Genomic DNA, 22,979 nt, shown 5'->3' with positions numbered 1-22,979 from the left:
CTTAACGAAGAGTGTACTATTTCACCATGAGGTGTTCCTCATATCCAGCTGGTAATGTTTGGTTTGGAGATGGGAGAAAAGGGGAGTCGAGGAGTTGAGAGAAGTCTTAAATATAGGAAGGATTTTCCTGGCAGATTATATTGAAACTGCTTGCAGTGACACAGTGGATGGTTATTCTAACTGTGGTCAAAGGTGCTCACTCGAAGGGTAAGTAGGCACTGGAATCCAACTCTTGTTCTGCTCATCAAGCCGTATACATCGAACCCAGGCAGAGTCAGCTCAAACGGTGCACCTTTCTCTTGTTCTTGCAAAGGTGCTCTGTGGGCCAGTTGCAGCCCTATCTTCATGCTTCAGAGGACAGAATTAGGCCCAAATGTTGAAAGTTACATGGATGCTGATTTGTAGTTAGTATAAGGAAAAGATGGCTTATGAACCTCATCTCATTTAATCCTTGTAACAACCCTGAAAGGTAGGTACAATTACTGCCCTCACTTTACAGAATGAAAACTGAAGCTGATAAGCAACTTTCCCCACATTCATAAGAGGCAAACATGATATAAACCAGGCTTTTCTAAGTAAAAAACACCCATGGTCATTCTACTCTACGTTATGATACCGCTTACTAAAAATCTGTGCAGTTCTATGTTGTAATGGACTGTTTTGGAAATTGGCAGTTTCTCCATTTCTTTAAGTGTTTAAGAACAGGTTGAATGCACACTCAACAGATGTGTCACAAAGTGGACCCACATACCCTGTGTAGTTGAATCAGGTGATGACTACACAGTGTGGGATCAATCAGGAAAATAGAAGCCACTCTACATATTTCAAGTATGAAGGATTTTAATGCAGAGAATTAGAGGCATATCAACTATTGGAAAAGTTGGGGGAACCAAAATCCTGAGTATTATGGCCTCTCCTCTCCAACCTTTCAAGCTTCAAAGGAATGTCTGTTATTGGAAGAGATGCTGACTCTGACCAGGGACCTCGTGGAGAAGGAGATGCTGGGAAATGTAATTCCTGACTAGAAGCAGGTGATGGTGAAACGGAGTTGACAACAGACACTCCAGCAAAATCCCGAAGCCCCTTCCCACCATAATGAGGTAGGGTTTTATGATTTGAACTTCCTTGTTTTATAGGGAGTTGGAAGTTAAAAGTAACAAGGGCACTTGACACCGTGCAAAGATATAGCACAAAAAGATATAGCTGAAACTATAGGTAAATTTTCACGTTGTCATTTTGCCTAAGATTTGAGCACCTTCAACAGGGCTGGGCCAAAGAAAAACATTTAGCTGTAAAACCAGGCCTGCTCCTCAGATTTTAGAAAAATTAGTTTTTACATAAAGGATTATGTTCATAGGAAATATGAGTAGCAAAATTTAGGAGGCTATCTTTATGTGTGGTAAAACAGAATTTAGCGTGGAAGGAACCTAGATGACATTTGGTTCCAGATAACCTAAACGACTTCTCATTTACCTATTAAGGAGATTATTTATGTATAAATAGTTTCCAATAATTTGTAATTTCAATAGGAAACATGGACATCTCTGACAGGGTGGTTGGCAGATGTGAGTGGTAACAGCACACCTTCCACTGAGAATCCTGGCTAACTGCAGACAGGGAAGAATTGTGGCAAGCAGGGCAAAGATAATGAATTTGCAGAGCTACCTCTTTAGAATTCAAGACCTACCAATTTGCCCAACTTGCTGGTTGACAACACCTCTGTTTTACTGCAACAGCCAAGGGAGGTTAAGGGACTAAGTAAAATCACAAGCAGCTTAATAGCAGACTCGAGATTGGAATTCAAATGTCCTGATACTCAGCCTGAGATGCTATGATAGCATCCTCTGCCTATCAATCATCAATCAATCAATCAATCATCTATCCACCTATCTATCCTTCTATTCTTTCCTCTGTCTACGCCTCTATCATTGTGTATCCATCTAGTCATCCAGCTGGGTAATCTCTCCTTTCATGAATCCATGTATGTGCATGAGACTCTATGAAGACATAAGAAGGCATCTATTTCCCTTTCTAGAGTTAATGGAAGAAGGAAAGTAAGAAACGGGGGGGCTATTGATTTTTGTTTGTTTTGGCTCCTACCTGAGTAAAGAAAAAGGTTTTAGTCCATAACACAGCATCATAACAATAGCAGGACCTATGAATTTTTCCGATAGGTAATTCCAGGCTAAAGAGAATGTATTTGAAAAACAGCCCAGTGTGCTGCAATATTAAAACAGTAGGCCACTATAGTTACAATATACCAGCTATTGATAATGAGATTACAGACTCCTGCCTACCAGTGTTCTCCCTTCTGTGTCCCAGTACTCAATTTTGTTGCTGGAGTGAGGGCCTTGGTGGTGTAAGCACGTGTTTTGCTTACATTTGGTGAAAGAACTCTTGTGGCTTGGTAAGTATTAGTCAAGCCACATAGTCTTAGATCACCTTAGGAAACAAATCCTTAAAATAACTTGGTCGAAGTTAGAAAATCATGTCACTATTTACATATCTGAATCTAATCATGCTATTTATGCATATGGTTTGTTTATTGTATTGAAAAGCTGTTCTCTTCTGCCAAGCCTTAGGGGAACATTAATCAAATTCATTAATTACTAAACATATGGCTTACATCTGAAATATTTTGTCTGAATTTGGAGGCTGAATTTTAAGAGGCACTTTGACAAACTAGAGTGTGTTCAGAAGTGGTCGGGATTAATAATCATAATAAAATATAATTTAAAACACACTGTGTTCTGTGCTAAGCATGTTACATGGATTGTTACATTTTTATTCCTCACTGTATTTTACCTTTGAGCATGTTGAGGATTAGAAAGCTTGAGTTGCCAAAGGTCATATAGTGAGTTGCTGAGGTCACATATGGGCCCTGACACTAGAACCTGAGCTTTATCCACTCACTGTACTGTGAGGAACCTGGAAACCATCTCCTATGAGAAGCTGTAGAAGAACTGAGAATGTCTGTGCTGATGAAGGAAAGAACTAAGACCAGTGGAGCAAGTTATGGAATGCCAGATTTCATCTCAATAGAAGGAAGCTTCCCTTCCTTAGAATTCAGCATTCAAGCAAAAGGCAAGAGATCCCTTTTTTAAAGACTGGATAAAAGAATTTAACATTAAGATATGCTGAATCTATGCTTTTTTGTTGTTTGTTTGTTTTGTTTTTTGTTTTTTGAGACAAAGTCTGTCTCTGTCACCCAGGCTGGAGTGCAGTGGCACGATCTTGGCTTACTGCAACCTCTGCCTCCCGGTTTCAAGCGATTCTCCTGCCTCAGCCTCCCGAGTAGCTGGGACTACAGACATGCGCCACCATGCCCAGCTAATTTTTGTTTTCTTAGTAGAGACGTGGTTTTGCCATGTTGGCCAGGCTGGTCTCAAACTCCTGACCTCAGGTGATCCACCCGCCTCGGCCTCCCAAAGTGCTGGGATTACAGGCGTGAGCCACTGCACCCGGCGGATATGCTGAATCTATGAAGTGAGCAAAATAGAACAGATAGCCAAATTATTGGTTTCATTTCTGCTTACTACTAGAAAAACAAAAATCTCTAATTCCTAATATTTTTCTTAAAAGTTGACTACAGGGTGAATGCCAGATCTAGGCCCACCTTCTCCAAATGTGTCAACTATCTTTTTTATGTTACTCAGTCGTTGAAACGATATAATTCTTAGATCTGACCCTTAGATTCCTACCTCACAATTTACTTTTTTATTTTTACTTTTGAGACATGGCAGGGTCTCGTGCTGTCGCCCAGACTGAAGGGCAGTGGTGTAACCATAGCTCACTGCAACCTCAAAACCCTGGGATAAAGAGATCTTCCTGCCTCAGCCTCCTGAGTAGCTTGGACTACAGGGGCATGCCACCTAGCCTGGCTAATTTGCCTCACATATTGTTCTAAGGATTGAATGAGTTAATATATGTGGAGGGCTTTATATCTCTCACATGGGAGAGATCAGCAGAAACAAAATGTATGTTAAGTCTCCTTGATTTTTTTCTATATAATGATACAGATCAACCTTTAAAGCTACTGAATCAGTCAGATATCTCTAGTAAATATGGTCACACGAATATATTCAAGGCCGTCACTGCTAGTAATGATATTTACACAATCAAGACTAGTAGTACAAAGTATTTTAAAGAATTATACTCTAATATTAGAAAGTTCTTTTTATCTTATATATAAAGTCTTCCCTCAAACTCTGGTCCAGGCAAAATAAATGACTTTCCTCTTTTTATTTTGCCATAAATTTTAGTGTATCTATTCCACATCCTGCCTTTCCTGCTGCCTGGAACACGTTTTCCTCTCCTCCTTTCTCCATCTCCCTTTCTCTAGCCAATATCTACCTATCCTTTAGGCCCTTCCCTTAGGGGTACTTTTCTCCAGGAAGCACTCCCTAACATTTCGTGCCATCTCTGGGCTTGGTTAGATGTCCCTCGCCTGTGCTCCCATGGCCATGTGTAATATTGCAATCATTCTACATATCAACTCCCTTGTAACATATTTATTGTATTCTCTCTTTTCTTCAGCCTATAAAGTCTGGCAATGCAGGGCTTACCTATTTTGTTCATGATTGTATCCTTAGGGATACAATCCCTAAGTGATTGAGATTGTGTTCTGGGATTGGGATTGGAAATGTGTCTGGTGGCACATTTGTGGAATGAATTATATGCAACATATAATCTTTTTTTTTTTTTTTGAGACAGAGTCTTGCTCTGTTGCCAGGCTGGAGTGCAATGGCGCTATCGCAGCTCACTGCAACCTCCACCTCCTCGGTTCAAGCGATTCTCCTGCCTCAGCCTCCCGAGTAGCTGGGACTACAGGCATGCACTACCATGCCCAGCTAATTTTTTGTATTTTAGTAGAGACGGGGTTTCACCATGTTGGCCAAGATGGTCTCCATCTCCTGACCTCATGATCTGCCCGCCTTGGCCTCCCAAAGTGCTGCGATTACAGGCGTGAGCCACCGTGCCCGGCCATAATCATTTTTTTTTCTAATATGAAAAGAGAATTCCATTAAATTAATGACTTACCCAAGACCTCAGGAGATCAATGTAGCTCTCTCCAAATCAGCTTGTGTATTCATCATTACCAAATTAATTTTTTTCTGTTTGCTCAAGAAGCACCACATATACCATGCCAGAATTGTTGCCATTTAGGCAATGAAATGTTCAAACACTGAGCTACACTCCCTATTGCCATTTCTGAATAGAGAATAGGATGTTCACTAAAGTTTAACTGTATGACTAAATAAAGCAAGTGTTTGATGATGGTTATTGAGTTGTACTTTGTGTAACTGAATGGATTCACTAAACATTTGTATTTGGGTTAACTAGCACGATAGAATTTATTAAATATCAAACCAGAGCAAGTAGGTAAGTGAAGAAAAGAGGGCTACCTCCCAGAGCCAAGAAGGAAAGAGATGGCCATATCTTCAACCGGTAGTGTTGACAGTTAATATATTCGGGTCCCAAGTCTTACAATTTGGGTTACAGAAAGGTCAGATTATAAAAGTCTTTTGCGTAGCTAGCTGGAAAAAAATGCTGTATAACTCAAGATTATATTTAACCTTTGATATATCTATTGAAATATTCTTTCTTTGGTTTTTAGAAATGGGTTAACATTTGCTATTATTTTTTCCACATAAAAATAATGACCATAAAAATATAAATCAAGTTCAGCAGTAGTATCCAGTTCTATGCCCCCTTGTCTAAGAAACTACTGAAAGGGTGGTGAAGTGAAGTAAAATTGTCATTTCTTTTCTCCCAAGTCACAGAATTGTCATACGGGGGAGAACTATAGTCAATTTTAGCAACTATAACTTGGTTGAAATCAGTGCCAGTGTGTGTGTGTGTGTGTGTGTGTGCGTGTATTTCATTAGTTACTAATCCACCTATGAAATGTCCAAAGTCTCTCCTGCAAATCTCTTCTTGGGACAATTTTCAGTGTCATAAGTAGAGAAAAATATCAACATCTATATTTGCAATTTGTCTCATTATAAGTTGAACTAACTATACAGAGCTACGCTGTATCTGAAACACTATAATAAAAAACAGAAGTATCTTAAACTGTGTGCAAACACAAAGGGGCTAAATTAAAGTGTCTGTTCATCTATCACTTCACATTGTGAGGAATAACAAACAGCTGATCATTCATCTGCCATTTTCTTCATGAGCAAAGTAAAAAAAGATAACTCACCTTTCAAATGAAGACATTTCCTGAGAAATCAATGGTCATAGATTATACTGGTGTACATGTATGTGAATAAATGTGTCTTTGAAGATATATCTATATTTCTACCTGAGTATAAAATTTTGAATACCCTTCTCATCACCAGCAATCCCCCCTCCTTTTTTACAAGAAATAATTTTGAAAAATAGTTCTTAAATCCTAGTTTGTATAAAACTTATGAGGATTCACAAACTTGTTTGTTATCTGATTGATAATATAATTTGTGAATTGAGCTCCCAGTCCAAAATGAAAAATATTTATAAGCTTAAAAAGGAGAAAAGGGGGAGGAAGCCAAACTGGAAATGAGGGGTAAAAGAACTTTCTCCTTACGCAATGAAAACACATACACATATTCATAACCAAACATGTGCATGTTTACAAATGAGTGACCTTCAAAATAATATTGAAAAAAAAAATGAAGCAAATGCAAATGTGTTGTAAATTAACTCTCCAGAAAAAGATAATTACATTATTGTATTAAGACATTACATTATTGTGTTAGCGGGCATTTTAGTTACTTTTTCCCCCCACTTAGAATCAAGGCATGCTATCATGATACAAGGCATTTATTAACTTGAATTTCAATAAAAATAAAAAACAGTATTAAAAGATAGAAAGCTGACAAATTTGATTTGTTTGGATACTGAACTCCAAATAAACATGTTGTTTGAACTCTGCCTGATGTACTGCTGCTGCCAGGAAGTATTAAAGTAATAGCAAACGGTCAATATGTGCTTACATATCACATATCAGGCTTAGCAAGATTGTTCCACTCTTAGAAAATTATATTGTTAAAAATAAGTGACAAACCTTGAGTAGCCCCTTCAAATCCACAAAGACATTGGAGGAACTGAAGCATACTTATAATAAAACCAGGATTTCTAAAATAGAGAGAAGCTCAAGCTCATGTAGCATCTTGCCAAATCATCAGATAAAAATGATTACACAAATTTCCAACAATAAATTCCCTCTGCATTTGCAGAGAGAGCACATAGGGAAAGAAAAAAGCACATCTTTAGAGCCAGACTTTTATCTATCAGACTCTTCTAGGGAGGCTTTATAAGCATTTGTTTCCCCTTTTCTCCCCCTTTAATGTTCTTTCTGAACAGATTTTGAGAAGCCCTTCAAATGGAAAACGTAAACTTAAATCCACACTTAGAGACAGGATCCATTTCTTGCCAATGAAAAAGGGGAAAAAATCATCCCAAACTTACTTGTCACTATCCAAGCAAATATCCTATCTATCATAAGAACTGTGGTTCCTGGGTAACAGATTAGGCACATCAATAAAATACTGTAACCACAGTTTGAGACAAATGCCCTGATATGTATAAGGTCAGAGGTTGACCAAGGTCACATAGAATCCTGAGCATATTTATCACTGGCCAAGCTTCAAACCGAGTTTTAAATTTTGTCATACATAAAAGAACAAACAACAACAACAACAACAAAAACTGCTACCAGATGGTGTCAAGATAATTCCTCTCCGTGTTAAAAACACACGCTTAGATATAGTCAATAGTAAAAATCAAATAATTAGTCCAAACACCATATACACCTGGCACCATTCCTACTACAAGTTAGGAGGTACATTATTATAATTTCTGTGTCTCTCCAATTAAGACAGCCCACCCAACTAATACAGAGTAGCCATAGTAGCCTACTAACACAATTAGTGAATTGATGATTTTCTGGAGCATAGATCATCCCAAGACAATAGGAAGAGACAGAATGTTATTTCAAATAGAAATTCTACTTCTAATTGCAAGAGAATTAGAAGCTCACTCCTTGCCACTCCCACCTCTGCCCTGTACCTCCTTTGATTAAAAGAAAACTTGTTCATATTTTGGAATGTTTAGTGCCTGCTATACAAAAGAACCCCCAAATTATAAATCCCCATATTTTGTGGCTAAACTCCATTCTTCAATTAATAAGAAAATGCAGTACAAATGTGTGGAAACCCCTCAGATGTGAGAAACCATATGCAATTGGTTCATGAAGTAAAAAGTAAAAACAGAAAGAGACTTTAGGAAGGAGGGTATTAATATGTCCAAATTAGTAAAATAAACAGAAAAATTGTTATGTGTTAGAAAGCACAAGGATGTATGTTATTACTAATTAATTGTAATATGTTTGCTTTAAAACATTTTTGAAAACATAAATGATTACATTTAATGATGACACAAGTATTTCTTTAGCTCTAGTCTGTTGTGGCATTTCACTGAGTAGGGGAGGGATCTAGAGTCACAATTCTTCTAGCTGTTAAGATGAAATTCACATTCTATTTTAAAATGTGGATCTGAAGGGGAACAGATGAATCCCAGCAATGGTCATTTGTAGATGTAGAATATCATAAAATGCTGGGGGAAATTCTTCTGTTTGAATCATTCTGGGTACCCAGAATTCGTATTAGGAATAATTAGGGTTCCTATTTTCCCCATGAGTCCTGCCTACTGCACTGCCAGAGAGAAAGCATCATGTAATTTTAATTATAAAGTCTACTGCAAAGCAAAGTTTTCATGCTAAGAAGAGGCCAAATTATGGGACTTCTCGCATTTGGGTTCATTTCCTAGAAAAGCATCACTTTGGATAGGGCTATTCTTCCCCCACACCTCAGTGAAGCACAATAAAGATTTTATTCTATGCTCCAATAATCATTGGCAAGAGGATGATGCCTCCTTCTGTCATCACACAGGAAAAAGCACATGAAGAGGATCCCAGGAATCAGGAAGATGGGGTAAAGTGAGGTCACAACTGGCAACAGAAAACCATCCAGTCTTTGAACGCAAAGATTGTAAATGTCTACTGTTTTTAAAACTTATTCTTTTTGGCAGGGTTGCATATGTTCTCTGTGCTCATTCCACGAATCTGGCTGATTATTATTCCAATCACCAGAGGAAGAGAGAGTCACATTAATTTGTAGTAATTAATAGCACTGATGCATTTGACAGCGCATGTTAACAAGCCTCTTTGATTGTTTGGATCTCTAACTGCGGCCCTTCTTGTTTGCATCACCTCCAAGGAATTCATAATATCAAAGCTTAACGGTATCTGATACTTGTCAAAATGCAATTTATAAAAGTTTAATTCTTTTATTGATTTAGTTTGGTTTTGATGCCTGCAGAGTCAGCTCCCTTGACAGAACTTAGCGGATTCAAATGCTTGTCACCAGCTCGGCCTCCTTTTTGCAGGGAACAATTGCCATAGGCCAAGCCAACAGGCATGGTTTAATTGCCATTAATTAAAAGCATAAATCTCTTTTTTCTTCAGTTGCTCTGCTCTTAAAGGGGGCTGCACATATCTCTCTTTTCCTGTGTTTGTCAGAACACCTTCTGGCAAGCAAAGTTAACCCATTCCATCTTTCTAAGCACTTTCTGGAATAATCTTTTGAAGCATTGCTCTTATGATCTGATGTGAAATGCATGCGGTTCGGTGATATTTAACAAACTGGATTTCTTCTTTATTGCAGTATAATGAGGTCAAATGAATCCCTCCATGGGTTGTATACATGCTTAAATGGTTTTTGCATCAAATTCTTTTTGACAGCAAATAAAACAGCAGCCAAACAAAACACTAGCTACTTAAAATTGGAAGAGAGGGGGAATTGGATGAAAATGAGCTTTTAAAACAAAAACACATGTATGCCTTTTAACATTAGGTGCAAGTAACCTTCCAGCAAAATACTTCTGCCTGGTCATTTTCAGATTGGAAGCAATTAGTGAGATTCTTGCGATAAGGGGAAGTGCTGAGCTTAACAGAGCCCAAATGATTATACAGTAAATATTATTCCAGCTCCGTTTACCTTCTAGTATTATCATTAAATCTATTTCATTTAGAAGAGACCCAGTGATGTTGTGAGCAAGGTAAAAATAATGAGGAGCTCATCGCTCACTTTGATGAGAGAAGGTAAAGAGGGTGGGTGAAGTGGGTAGTTTCTTTTTATTATTTTTTTACTTCCCCACAATTATCCTATGAAATGATTATCCACCAGGCTTTGCTATTCAATGGCAGTGTCAAAACAATTCGGTTTCCCCTGGCTGCCAAGCGCCTTCTCTTTCCCCCTCAGTCCTGCCGCCGTTCGGGGAAGTGTCGCTGTAAGCAGATTATTGCTTTAAAGCATTTACACATATTAGTTTTGCTGCATCTGCCAGCTTTAGCAGGACTGCCGAGCCGCGGAAGTCCTCCTCGCTTTATTTAAAAGAAGAAGAAGAAGAAGAAAAAAAAAAAAGTTCCGCGCTGGGCTGCTCGGCGTGCTCAGCGCATGAATATGTTATGCATCTGTTTTCACCGGGTCAGGCTAGGGAGAGTGATTGATTTTTGGCCCCAGTGCACTTTTTGCGAAAATCTTTAAGCGAATACGGTGTTGTTTAATTGGAAGCGTTCGAACTAGACGTGCTGCTGCCAGTGCTGGAATTTCTGGAAATTCGAGGCTGCGGACTGCGTCGCTCCGCGGCCGCGTTGGCTGCGGCTGCGGCTGCGGTTGCGGCTGCGGCGGGAGTGCGGGCGCGTGGCCCTAACCCGCGGGGTGACCTACATCCCCATCGCTGCTGCGTGCCCGCGTGCGTGCGCGCGCCTGGGTGTGGGGGAGAGTTTTTTTTTTTTTTCTTTTAAGCCTGTAGTTGGAAGGGAGGAGGTTCCAATTAAAACCAAAATAAGCTGCTTTAATGGTCTTTTAAATTGACACGTGAACAATGATTTTAGTATTGGTATCTGTCAAAGGTCCTAGGAAATCCTCAGCTGATAAGGCCCAATGCTTCCAATTAGGAACCGTGCAGATCTGCAGCCAATAATGATTTCTGGGTCCCTGCAGAAATGCTGCAGACACTTATTGCAAATTACTGACAAAAAGCTCTGCTGTATTGATGAGAGGAAGTACAGGCGGCTTTCGGTGTCCCCGTCAGGTATACCTCATAATGAGAGAGCTTGAAGTTTTGACTTAGCCTTTTTCCTTCCCTCCACCCTTAAAGCAGCATTTCATTGATGAGTAAAAATCTCGCCTCCCACCAGCTTTAAGCATGTTAGACATTTCTTCCCAGATTTTTTACACGAAGGCCACTAATTTGATGTCAGGCTCCGGCAAAGCTCTCATCAATATTATCTACGAGTGCTGCCTAATACAGCTCCAACGCCCGAGGAATCAAAATAAGCAAATCTTTGAAGGTTTTTCAGGCACCAAAAGGCAGAGACCGAGAGAGAAAGGTGCGAGAAGTTTCTAAATGTGAAGCCCCCCTTTCCCAAGCGACGATCGGAAGAGCAATTAGGCTGCTGCTTTCTCCCAGTTCCAGTGTCCAGGCAGGTTTCTCCCCCGAAAGGCGGGAAAGGCGCGGGCTCGGGCAGGGACCGGAAAAGACCAGGCCCGAGGACCCGTAGCGCCCCGGCGCCCCCTGCGGTGACCCGCGGCCCTGCAGCGCGGGCGGCCCGCAGTCCCCCGCCTGGCTGGGGACCCGAGCCTGCAGCTCCTGGGCACCAATTGGGCTCCTGCATCTCCTGGGACTGTGCGAGGAGCCCCCATTACGTTCCTTGGTGTATACGTGTCTGTACAAACATATATGATTATTTTAATGATGCACATAATTATTTTATTTAAATCTTCATCCTCTCTTGCTTTGGTTGTTTGTTTCTGACTACCTCCAAGGCAGGCTAATAAGAAGGTTCATTTTTATTTTTCTTAATGATTGTTTACAGAGGTCCATCCAGGCTTTTTTATTTATTTATTTATTTTTTCCTGGCTATCTGCTAATTACCCGTTCCAGTTCTGAATGTTCAGATCTTCGCTGAAAGCTCCTGTCTTGCTCCTGACCCTAAGCGCGATTCGGTTTTCCTGCAGCTCCCCTATTTCTATTTCATTTCAAAAGGGCAAAAGTCTTGGTCGTGAGCGTTCGGCCCCGGAGTCCATGCCACGGGCGATGTGTGCCTCAGCTGTTCCATCAAAAGCCACTGTACTAACAGATCCTGACTGCACTTAGCTTTGTTTCCCTGATACGGTCATATCACATCAACCCGGACGCATGTGAAATTACATCCGCAACTTTAAGCATTTTGTTGCTATCTTCAGTTCGAACAATGTTGTCGATTCGGGACTACATTTTTTGGCAGTCCATAGCACATTTATGACAGATAATAGCTTATTATTGTTCTCTGATATGGCCGATTTTATGCCAAAGAATGAGGGCTTCTTTTCTCCTCCTCCTCCTCCTTTCCCTCCTCCCCTTCCTCCTCCTCCTCCTCCCTCGATGCACACCTCTCCCTCCCAACCTCGCCGATGCCTTCTCTGCCACCCCCTCCCCTTGCATTTGAATTTCCAGATAATAGGCTGTGACTTCTGGCTGCACGTTTATGGGTCTTTTCATGTTATCAACTTAGCTCATAGCGTGGAACTAAAGAACACAGACTGCAAGTGACAGGCCAGCCAGTCAGCAAGGCAAGCCTGTCAGTATCTCTCATCCACTAATGATTTCCCTTTAGTCTATTTTCTGTCTCATTGGCCGTTTCCTTCAAAAACAAAATTGCTCATTTAAATTCTTATGCCTGGGGCATTTTGGTCTTCAAATATTGTTCGAAAGTGAAAGGATTAGGCAAAATATGCTTTTTTAAAATGTTAATATATTTTCTGGTTCACTTTCTCCTCTGAGGCCAATTAGGAAATTTCTGCTGGCTGCATTAATGTCAAACTGACAACCCCAGCTATAATTACACTGTGCTTGAAACCTAACTTTCACTTGTGGGTAGATGGCTGCGTCTGGCAGTGACATTGAATTCACTCTGCCAGCTTTTGATCATTTAATCATTGCTCGCTTTCTTTTCCTCTTTGCTAGCTGATTATTTCACCTTTATTCTTTCTGTTGCAAAATGCAGTGTTGTCTTTCATTATTCACAGTTGCATTTTGCAAGGCTCATTAGTGCCATTGTTTCTTCAATTTGCTGTGCATGAGAATGGATGGTTCCTTCAAGTGCAGCAACCATATGTAAGTTGTTTACCTACTTGATTCGCCACATACATTGGTACTGTTTGACTTTAAAAATGCAGTATCTCTTTTAAATAGACAGGGTTCTTTACATCCCAAACACTGATGAAGGCGGTGTGTGTTTTACACTCTGTAGAAAAAAGCTGCAGGAGGGCTAGCCTCTTCATTTGTGAACCATCATGTTCCCTGGGAAGATAGATGACACGCCTCTATCAAAGGAGGAGGCCAGTGACTTTCTCCTTTGACCAAATTATAAACTAGGGTGCTCCTCAGCTCCCAGAGGGGATCTCTTCATATTTCTTACCCCTTTGCTCCCTCTGGGTTAGTTTTTCTGCCTAGGCATGAAGAATGGGTGCTATGATCTACCCAGCTTTCCCCCTTTTAAAAGTTTTTTGGGTTTTTCCTCTCTGGGAAGATACTCGGATTAGGACTCTATGGCTGTGAAGAATTGCCATAGGCCTACTATCTGAACATAACCCGTGTTGGTTTCCTTTTCCTTCCTTCTGTTCCTTTAAAAAGGATATAGGAGCCTGCCTTTAGTCCAAGGAAACGGTGATGCCAACCCTGTGTAAATGTGTTGGGGCCCCAGGCTCCAAACTTGACCGAAAACCTACTGTCTTGGAGGCACAGAGCTCTGCCTTCAAATGGCCACAGGCCCAGGGAGAGGGAGCGGTTCAGAAAATACTGTGCTTCTGCTCCCTGTGGATTTCCAGGGCCTGCCGAGGGACTGTGCTGGGTAAGGGGATCTATGGCCCTCTTCATTCACTCCATGCCATGAGAGAGAACCTGGCAGTGTCAGATTCACTCCAGCGGGTCGGGGACGCAGGGTCTGGGTGAAAACAGCCTAGGTCGGCTATCTTGGACTCGGTTCCTCAGATTCTCCCCGCAAAGCCGGAGAGGCCGGGGCGGTCCTTGGGGCCTGGCCCAGAGTCGCCAGTCTAGTTCGGGAAAGAAGCCGCGCCAGGACCTCCGGCGTGGGGCAGAGAGCTGACTGAGGGCAGCTCCCCAGTGGTCCCCGCAACGTCCTCTGGCCGCCGGGACATGAAGACCTAGGCCCGGGTTCGAGGGCCGCGGCAATCTCCGAGGAAGGTGGGCTGGACCCGGGCTGCAGGGTGAATCTCATTGGGCGCTTCCGTCTCCCCGAAGCCGTTCCGCGTTTCCGCGGCCTCCTTGCCCCACGGCTGGCCTGTCATCTTCTGCCCGAGGCTCAGCTCGGGGCTCCAAGGTGGCGGGAGTCAGCACCATGCCTGGGACGTCTGACCCAAGCAGCAAAGGAGCAGGAAGGAGAACCTCTGGAGGAAGCGCAGGCAGCCATGCGGAGGGCGGGGAGGAAAAGCATATTTATTGGATTGGCATTTCTCTTAACAGAGCTCTTCGCTAATGATATTTACTTAACTGTATTTGACAGCAGTTACGAACACATCTCCGGTAAACAGGATCTATACTCCTTGCGCCTAAAACTGCCTGTCAGTTCCTAAGCCAATCGCAGTAATAACCGCTGGATCATTTTAAATGTGGCTAAAACCGACGTTGGACAAAATCAATCTGCCATATGCTGGCTCTGAAGGAAATCACTTGCACAGTTTGACGAATTGCTTGCAGTCCCTCCAGCAATCCATAACTCGCTTTCTTCTTCCCTCTCTCTCTGCACCCCCATCTCTCCCGTTTTCCTCGGAGCTCCTTCCCCCATTTTACCCTTTCTCGCAGATTCCAGGTAATCCGAAATGGCACTGACCCTTCTCATTCTCCGATTACCTCTCTGAAGCATGAACTTGGGATAAAATCACACATCAGAAAATTCGCCGTAATTATTTTGCGGTGCTATCAGCACCGATCAATCACGCGCGCGGCCCAGTGCTGGAATGCCTAGCGCAGCCCGGGACGCGGATCCGCGTCCCGCCTGACTGACAGTTTTGGTAATTAAGTGATTGTATAGACCTCTCCGGCTGTTCTAACAACCTTGTCAGGGCCTGTCTGTGGACAGAACAAGCTGAAATCAATGTGCTTCCTGCTCTCTGAGCAGTTCTGATCGTGTACTCAGACTGATCGGGGAGGAGGAATCTGACAAAAGGAAAACAGCAGCTCTAAACGATCGGATTAGGGGGAGTAGGTAGAAAGTTTACTTCTTTGATGGGGAGGGAAGAGCGAGAGACACGCACCAGATCACAAGAGCTTCGCTGAGCTGGGCAGCTGGCCCTGCGTGGAGCGAGAGGCTCGGTGCTTGTTACCCTCGGCCCCCAGGCAGGACTGGCAGTACTTTCCTCCCGCCCCCAAGGGGGTGCAGAGGCCTTCCGCGTTGTAGCTGATGGGCTCTGTCCGGCCGCGGACAGCAGCGTCCCCATACGCTGCAGCCATAACTCGGCAGTACAATCGTTTTCGCCCGGATTAGAGGCAGAGACTGGTGGCTCAGTGTAAATGTCACGCAGCAGCTTTTAATAAATGAATGTTCAGATTGTTAGATTGCGAAGTACATTGTGAGTTCTGTGCGCCTCCCCCCCGCCTTCCCAATCCGGCTTCGAATTCCCCCATCCCCCTATTTCAGCACACACATCACACCTCGGCGCACGTTACAAATATGTTACATATTCAGAGTGATCTCGCCACGGCGCCTGCGGGAGGGGCACTCTCCGAGCTTAACATCTACCTCGCCGAGGTCTGCGGGGCGCCCGGGCCGACCGCTGGCACCAGGAACAGGAAAAAGACCCTGACGGGACCTGCTCTGCGGAAGCGTCTTTTACAAGCCCACCCTGGAATTTCTGAAAGAAATTCCCTCTGGGAAGAGGGTCCTGAAAGCGCCGAACTAGGAGGCGGGACCTCCAGTTCTCGGCGGAGGGGCTCCAGTTAAGAGTATTTTAATTCTTTCACACCAGCCCTCCCAAATCTTAAAAACCTAACCAATTGAACGCAAACACACACAAAAGGGGGAAGGGAAGCAAAATCAATCCGCCGAGTTCAAAGCGCCGTGTCGCGGGAGGAGGCTGCAGGGTGCTCGGCGCAGGGCCGAGTGCGCAGCGGAGGGCCCCATCGACCGCGCGGAGATTGCGGCTCCCACCCGGCAGACATCCAGTGGGCTGTGTATGTTTGTGTGCGTGGTGGGGGGCGTCACGCCCTAATCCAGCCCGCCGCTTGCCTGTCTCTCCTCCCCTACCAGCCTGCAGCCGCCCATCCTCAGAGAGAAAAATGTGAGTGTGAGCACATTACGCACCATTAGGGACACACTACGGTTTTAATGTGGCCTAATTAGTGCCGCTAACCGAACAAATATTATTATATTGAATAATGATAATATGATGAAAATATTAATGCTTTGGAACTTTGCACGTGGGAGCCGTTCTCTCAGTTCTCCTGGGACACCCCAAGCACGCTCAGACCCACCAGCAGATGCGGTCGGGCGCACCTCCAGGAAGGCGAGCCCACAGCTCAAGACATACGTGTGTCATCGCAGGCACAGAAACAACACCGTGGGCCATGCCACAAGTCCCCCACCCACACATCGCCCACCACGCAAAAGAGCTTCTTCCAATGGCATTCTCTTTTTTTCTGTAAGAGTCGGTAAAAAGCAAACCAGACAGGAGTCCGCTAGGGTCTCTCTTTACTGCGCTTCTACTCGGCACCCCAAGAATGTTGCACTGGGCGCTCCGAGTGTGTTTGGTTTCAACAGAGGCTGCCAGGCAGGTGGAGCTGCGGAAAAAGGACCCACTCAATTAGCATTTAAATTCACAGTCCCTTCTTATTGCCAAATGTTTCTCCCCCGGGAATTTGGTGAAAAGCAGGAATTTAACAATTAGGAAATGCGGAAGGCTCCTCAAAATAGGGATTCGAAATCTTAATTCTCTTACCGATTTTGGAGGGCCAGGGGGGTGGGGAAGCGCGCGTGGGCTGGGTGGGAGGCACGTCTTGGCTGGCGTGCGTCCTCGTCCCCGACGCCCAGCACACCACCTCACTCTTCCCTTCTTGCACCCCCATCCCCTTCTCATGGAGCCTCGGGAGACAGAGCCACAGGAGGCTGGCAGTCCTGTTCTTGCTGCCTGAAGGCAGGTCCAGCTCTTTCCTGGTTGCTGAGCGGCACCAGGGCCAGGGCCTAAGCAGGGTTTTCAGAATGAGGCGTTGGGTGTGTTCCAGGAAATAGGGATGCAGGATCCAGGCCCTAGAGCGCCCCCTCTCGGGCTGAACTGCCTCCTACCCCTGCTGGGGGCCCACAGGTCACATCCCCCCGCTTTGCGGGAGCTCTTTCTAGGAGGAAACGTCGGTGTTAACTGCTGCTGAATGAGTTGTTCTTCGACGCAACTACTTACTCCCCGGGCGGTGTGTCTGGACCAGAAGTCGCTGCTTAGGCACTTGTCCAGTGGCGTATTCTGTAGACCTGGGAGAGACTGAGAAAGCTGACCGAGGCTGCCCCCAACCTCCGCGCCCCAAGGCCTCTCACGGTATCTGGGAACGCGGCCCCGCCTGCACCAAAGGCAGAAAACGGGGCGGGGAGGTTTCAATTTGTTCCAGTGATGGCTGTAACTTAATAAGGCGATTGATTAGCACTCAAAGTGCCGTTTTAATTAGCCGCTTGTTAATTAACATCGCAAATGAATTTCTCTTTCTCTGATTGGCATCTTTGCTCAGCGCTCTGAGGTTTTGGTTTCTCTTCTGCCTTGGCCCCTACATTCCCTCTTACTTAGCCTCAGGAGTTGATAGGCTTCAGAGTTCTGTTTATGTATGACATGGCTGTGTCACACAGGGGCCCTTTAATTTCTCCAGGAGCCGGCCTTCAAAGGACAATGGTTCAACTTAGGAGGGGTGAAACAAAATCCTTCCCCATGTCCCCCTCGGCTCTTCCTTCAATTGCCTTCACCTTGTCACCTTCCCAATCTCCACACCTGAATTGGAGGAGCCCTCTTTCTGGGCCTGCTAAGGTCACCAAGCCGTCCATGATTTGAAAATCTAGAAAGAAGAAAGGAAGCAAGAGTGCAGGTGGGGAAAAGAGGATACAGTCCTTGAGGGGACTGGATCACCTCTTGGGATCAAATCTAAGACTGTGTAACCGGCTGTATATGCTGCTGCCCAGGCCTGTAAACATGTGCAGTTAGTTCCTTTTCCCTCCAAAGTGTCAAAGAGTATTTTGTCTCTTCCGGCTGGACCCAGAAGAGACCCCCTAGAGCCAACATATGTCTACAGATTGCAGCCCAGCCCTACAGTCAGGAGATTAAAATTTTGGACAATTCATGGACATTTTTGCACCATTATTACCCTCAGCTACCATAGAAATCCCTCTACATCCCACTGCTTGAGATGCAGTCATGACTGAACACACTTCATTTCCTTTAGAAAGCTTTACTGTTCCCCCAACTTGTCCCAGTGTAAGACTCCCCACTCTCTTTCTCACTCCCACTGTAGCAGGTTCTAATTTGTATCATTGTATTTATGACAGTTTTCCAGCACAAGTTCTTGTCAAACCTGAGGTGAGTTGGTGTCCCAGTCTCAAGCACCTGGCATAGAATGAACATTCAATAATGTTTATCGATTGAGTGAATGAACAAAATGAATGAGGGAAGGAAGAAGTGAAAACAAATATAGCTACTGGGTGTTGCTTATGCTAGAGATCATTGCCACTTTTGTGTATAGTATTTAGCAAATGCTGCTTTACATTTTGTAAAGAGCTTTTACATAGAATGTCTTATTTGGTCATTACACTCACCCCGTTCTAATCAAGAACTAGTCTCCTCTTTAGTGGAGGAGGAATTTGGTAATTAAAAGGTTAAGTGCCTTGCCCACGAACACATAAAGTGGTAAAATGAGATGAAAACTTTCTTCTCCAGCGTTCTGTCCTCTACATTTCTGCTTACCTTCCTGTGGTTTGCCTCTGTACAACACACATCTAACTCCCAAGGAGAGTCAACTTCACTAGGTTCCTTCCAAACTGCTCATCTTTAAAATTTGGTGAAGCTTATAGCTCTTGCAAATTGTATTATGATATCAGAACTATCTCTCAAAACTTTCATTCCCCTAGAACAATTAGTAATTACACAGGTTATCATTTTAACTTCTTCCTGTTAACATACTTTTCAGTTACCTTATTTTTTTCTTTCATTTTATCTTTCTCCATCTGCTCCCAACTCCACTCTCCCAGTTTCAGTCTATTTAAGGGACTCAGTTATGTTCTTTTCATATCTTTCTCTCTCTGTTTTCTTTTTGGTCAGAACTGCCAGGATATTTCTCTTTAATGTATTATTTTTTCTAAGCAAATATGTATCAAATTCTTAAATAGTTGAAAAGATATTGATAAATTGAAAAAACAAAAAAGAAAGGAAACTTCCGACGTTTCTGTAGCTTTGAAATGGCGAGAGGTCAGACAATCGTCAGGGAGCCAGCCTTAGAAGGTGGAGAGCTCATTTGTTTATCTTGCATCTTTTATAGAAAGAAACAATAGCAGCTCCCTCCGTTCGGAGCTCTTGGCGCCGCCCAGTGGAGGGAAGCGTCTTTGCACCTCATTCCCCTTACTTGGCATTGTCATCATGTGGACCCTTAGAAACGTTCAAAATTAAATATGATAGGAAGAAACACCAGCTCCACGTTCATCGTAATGTGTGAGTGGATTTCTTCAAAGTTAAGTTTCATTTTTAAAAAACTGAATGCTCTAGTTTAAACACAATCTCAAATACTAAATCTAGATGGTGAAAGTGGATCGTAGAGAGTTTATCTAGGAACAAAATTTGTTAAATATTGAAGTGTTTGAATCATTCTCTGAGATGGGAAAGGAGCATCTTTGATGCTGATCGGCAGTGATGTGTTCTTCAGAGCCGGGAAGGAAAAGTTTGTTCTCTGTTACCCACAGTTGGCAATAACTGCTTTCTAGGCCAAAATTCCAAAATCTTCCAAAAATTACACAAGTTTCTTTTTTTCTCTTCCCCTTCTCCTTCTTCTAAGGAAATGAGGGCCTGAAAGTGAATGAGTTTAATATTTAAACTCATGTCAGTTTAGAGACTCTATTTATTTGTATTTTAAATCCAGTGGGAAAATCTAAGATTAAATCCAGTTAAAGCATTTTCTTTCGTTTAGAAATATGATATATCTGCACCCTATTGTGTTTCTGAATTGTGATTTTTAAAAATGAAAAGTGAATTATGTTTGCCAGAAAATGCATGACTTCTTGGATGTATACATTATATACTTTCAGAAAAAAAATGCGAGAGAGGAATGTGTCTGGAGAAAAAAGAACTGAGAAAAGTTAAACAAAACTCCAGCTCTGAAAAAAAATTTTTCATTAAGTTTGCAATTTGGTCTTCAAGTCCATTTTGTGAATCTTCAGGCCACTACTAACATAGCAGCCTTGATAAAAGTCAAGGTCGTGTTTTCCCCTTACCGTTATTGCTCCTGGAAGCTGATCTAACACCCACCCAGAGAACTCTTCTATGATATTAACCTTTTCTTAAGAAAATATGATCTGAGACATTCACAAAGTGGGGCCTACTGGGTTCCCTTTTGCTTTGCTTTAGAGTTGTCACAAAACACGCTCTCCCCTGCCCCCAACACTTCCACGTTTCTCTCTCCTTTTCTTTATAGATTTCATTTTTTTTGTAGGGTCATATCTCCATCGTCTCCCCTGCCAATGCTGTGAATTATTCCAAGCAAAAAGACCCTGTCGAACCGCCCAACACAAGCTGTGCGATCAGCCTTTTGAGCTCTTGAGTCATTTTAGGCGTCGGAACAAAACAAAAACAGGCTTAAATGAATTATTTATCAAGGTCGAGAATAATTGATTTGTGCAGTGCCGTCAGTTCTGGATTTTAAATTTGTTTTCTCCCCCTCCCTACTTCCCACCCTGAATATGCAGCGAGGGGAGTTCGAGTTGGAACCTCCCAGGGCTAGGAGAAAACGCACCATATTCGGGAAGTTGGTGGATGATGATGTTGGAATGGGAAGAACCCTAATCGATATTTGAAGAGGGTAGAGTAGGTAGGGTCAGCCTGCAGTCTCGGGCAGCCCTAGAGCCCTTCCTGTCCTCCCCACAGCGGTCAACTGTGACAGAGGCGCAGGATATTTAGGCTGCGAAGCTGTGCAGCGTCGGGCCCTGCGGCCTCGGATAAGCCACCTCCACAAGTCTACCGTCTGTGTTTCGGTAACCGCGGCCGAAGGCCGAGGCCGAGGCCGAGGCCGAGCCCGCGAGCTCTCCGGAGGGTCTCCCGGGCCAGCACTCAGTTCCCGCGCCAAAGGCATTTGATCCAACCCCGCTCCAGCCTACAGTGGCCCGACCCCACCCGGCGGGGCCCAGTCACCCGTTCCCGAGGGCCTCCCCGCACCCCTCTGGCCACTGTCGGCCCCTGCCGGGATGGAGCACGTCCGGAGTCCCCGCCTCGGCTCACCAACCCCGTCTTCTCCGCCAAACTCCCTTCGCCTTCCGAGAAGAGCGAGAGCTGCCCGGATTGTGCATCTCCTTGCCTCCGTCCCTTCAATCCCCGCTGTTCTCTCGGAACAGCCCTAGGAAAAATGCCACTGAGACGATGAGAAACAGCTCAACCCACCCTCCAAGTAGTGCTGTTTTTTTTTTTTTTTTTTTTTTTTTTTCTGGGTCAAACACACCGATTTCCCTAGGAAAACGCAGGCAGGATGAGTCGCCCAGCTACCCGCTTCCGGACCCAGGGCTCACACAGAAGCAGTTCCGACCGAAAGGCAAGAGCTTGTCCCAGGAGGTCATTTGCCTCCCTGACACCCCTCCCTTCGTCCTCAACAGATAAAAGCTGTGGCCCAGAAAGTGACCTCCAGAACTGCAACTAAACTCCAGATTTCGGCCCAGCCTTTGGAGACATTAAAGGCCACTCGAACATCATTCCAGACCTAGCCACGGAAGCGATGCCCGCCTCGCAGATTCATAGGGTTCTTAAAATGGTAATTTGGAGTAAAATGTAACTCAAAGAACTTTGAATCATTCATTAGCACCTTATAATTACTCTGCTAATTAGGTTGACACGGCACTTAATCAGGAGTAATACGCCGTCTTGTCACTGGCACTTCCCATTACTCTGACATTCAACATGAGACAGGTTGGAGACGTCCTAGAGAAAATAATGCAAGTTGATACACTCCAACGAGGCGTTACAGTCATGCTCCGGGTCCCAAGTGGATCCGCAGTGACTGTTTCCTTTCCAAATGAGCGCTCGCCGAAAGGGGCCGGGGGACAGAGGTGGACGGACTGCCGCGGGGCGCGGCAGGGGCGCGGGCTGCAGACCAGCCGCTATGGGTCCTGAGCCCCGCGCCCGCCCGACACCGCAGTGAACCGTGGCTGCCCTCGCCACCAGAGAACGCCTCGGGCATTAGCTCCCCCGTTCGGGAGAAAGCGTCTGGCCAGGCATTTTTTCCAGCTGGAGACCAGGCTGGTTCCCCAGCTTGGAGCCTCAGGCCTCGTCCTCCCCGAGAGCGCCTGGTGGACGCGGACCCGGCTGTGTCCCTCTCAGGGATCCGCCTCCCGCCGGGCTGAGCCCGAGCGCCTGGGTTCGTCGGGCGAGAAATCAGAGCCCAGAGCCGACCCGCCCGCTTATGCAAGGCTCCGGCGCCTGAAGTGACACACTTTTCTGTGGATTCCTTCAGGGATCTCCTTCCTCCGCTCTTAATGTCTTCGGACTATTCCCGCGCGCGTTTGGGGAGGCTGCGAGGGCCGCCGCGCTGGAGCCTAAAGGTAAGTCCCTTCCCGTCCTCTTCTCTCTCTCTTCTGACTTAAGAAAACGGGCGAATCCTTGCTACTTTTTTTTTTCTTTCTCCCCTTTGGTTCCCTTTCTCTGGTCTCCCTCTGA

The 22,979-nt window shown here is 44.4% G+C and overlaps 4 annotated features.

Moving 5' to 3' along the window:
* Positions 12,729 to 13,550: an enhancer, noted in NCBI's record as "OCT4-NANOG-H3K4me1 hESC enhancer chr1:91193268-91194089 (GRCh37/hg19 assembly coordinates)". NCBI's record gives its function as "activates a minimal SCP1, AML or CMV promoter by ChIP-STARR-seq in naive H9 embryonic stem cells {active_cell/tissue: H9 hESC(naive)}" and the evidence as "EXISTENCE:reporter gene assay evidence [ECO:0000049][PMID:30033119]".
* Positions 14,224 to 14,779: an enhancer, noted in NCBI's record as "H3K27ac-H3K4me1 hESC enhancer chr1:91192039-91192594 (GRCh37/hg19 assembly coordinates)". NCBI's record gives its function as "activates a minimal SCP1, AML or CMV promoter by ChIP-STARR-seq in primed H9 embryonic stem cells {active_cell/tissue: H9 hESC(primed)}" and the evidence as "EXISTENCE:reporter gene assay evidence [ECO:0000049][PMID:30033119]".
* Positions 15,336 to 15,891: an enhancer, noted in NCBI's record as "NANOG-H3K4me1 hESC enhancer chr1:91190927-91191482 (GRCh37/hg19 assembly coordinates)". NCBI's record gives its function as "activates a minimal SCP1, AML or CMV promoter by ChIP-STARR-seq in primed H9 embryonic stem cells {active_cell/tissue: H9 hESC(primed)}" and the evidence as "EXISTENCE:reporter gene assay evidence [ECO:0000049][PMID:30033119]".
* Positions 15,892 to 16,447: an enhancer, noted in NCBI's record as "H3K4me1 hESC enhancer chr1:91190371-91190926 (GRCh37/hg19 assembly coordinates)". NCBI's record gives its function as "activates a minimal SCP1, AML or CMV promoter by ChIP-STARR-seq in primed H9 embryonic stem cells {active_cell/tissue: H9 hESC(primed)}" and the evidence as "EXISTENCE:reporter gene assay evidence [ECO:0000049][PMID:30033119]".

This window comes from Homo sapiens, chromosome 1 (genome assembly GCF_000001405.40).
Source record: "Homo sapiens chromosome 1, GRCh38.p14 Primary Assembly".
Classification (NCBI taxonomy): domain Eukaryota; kingdom Metazoa; phylum Chordata; class Mammalia; order Primates; family Hominidae; genus Homo; species Homo sapiens.
This window is presented reverse-complemented; position numbering and strand designations above follow the sequence as displayed.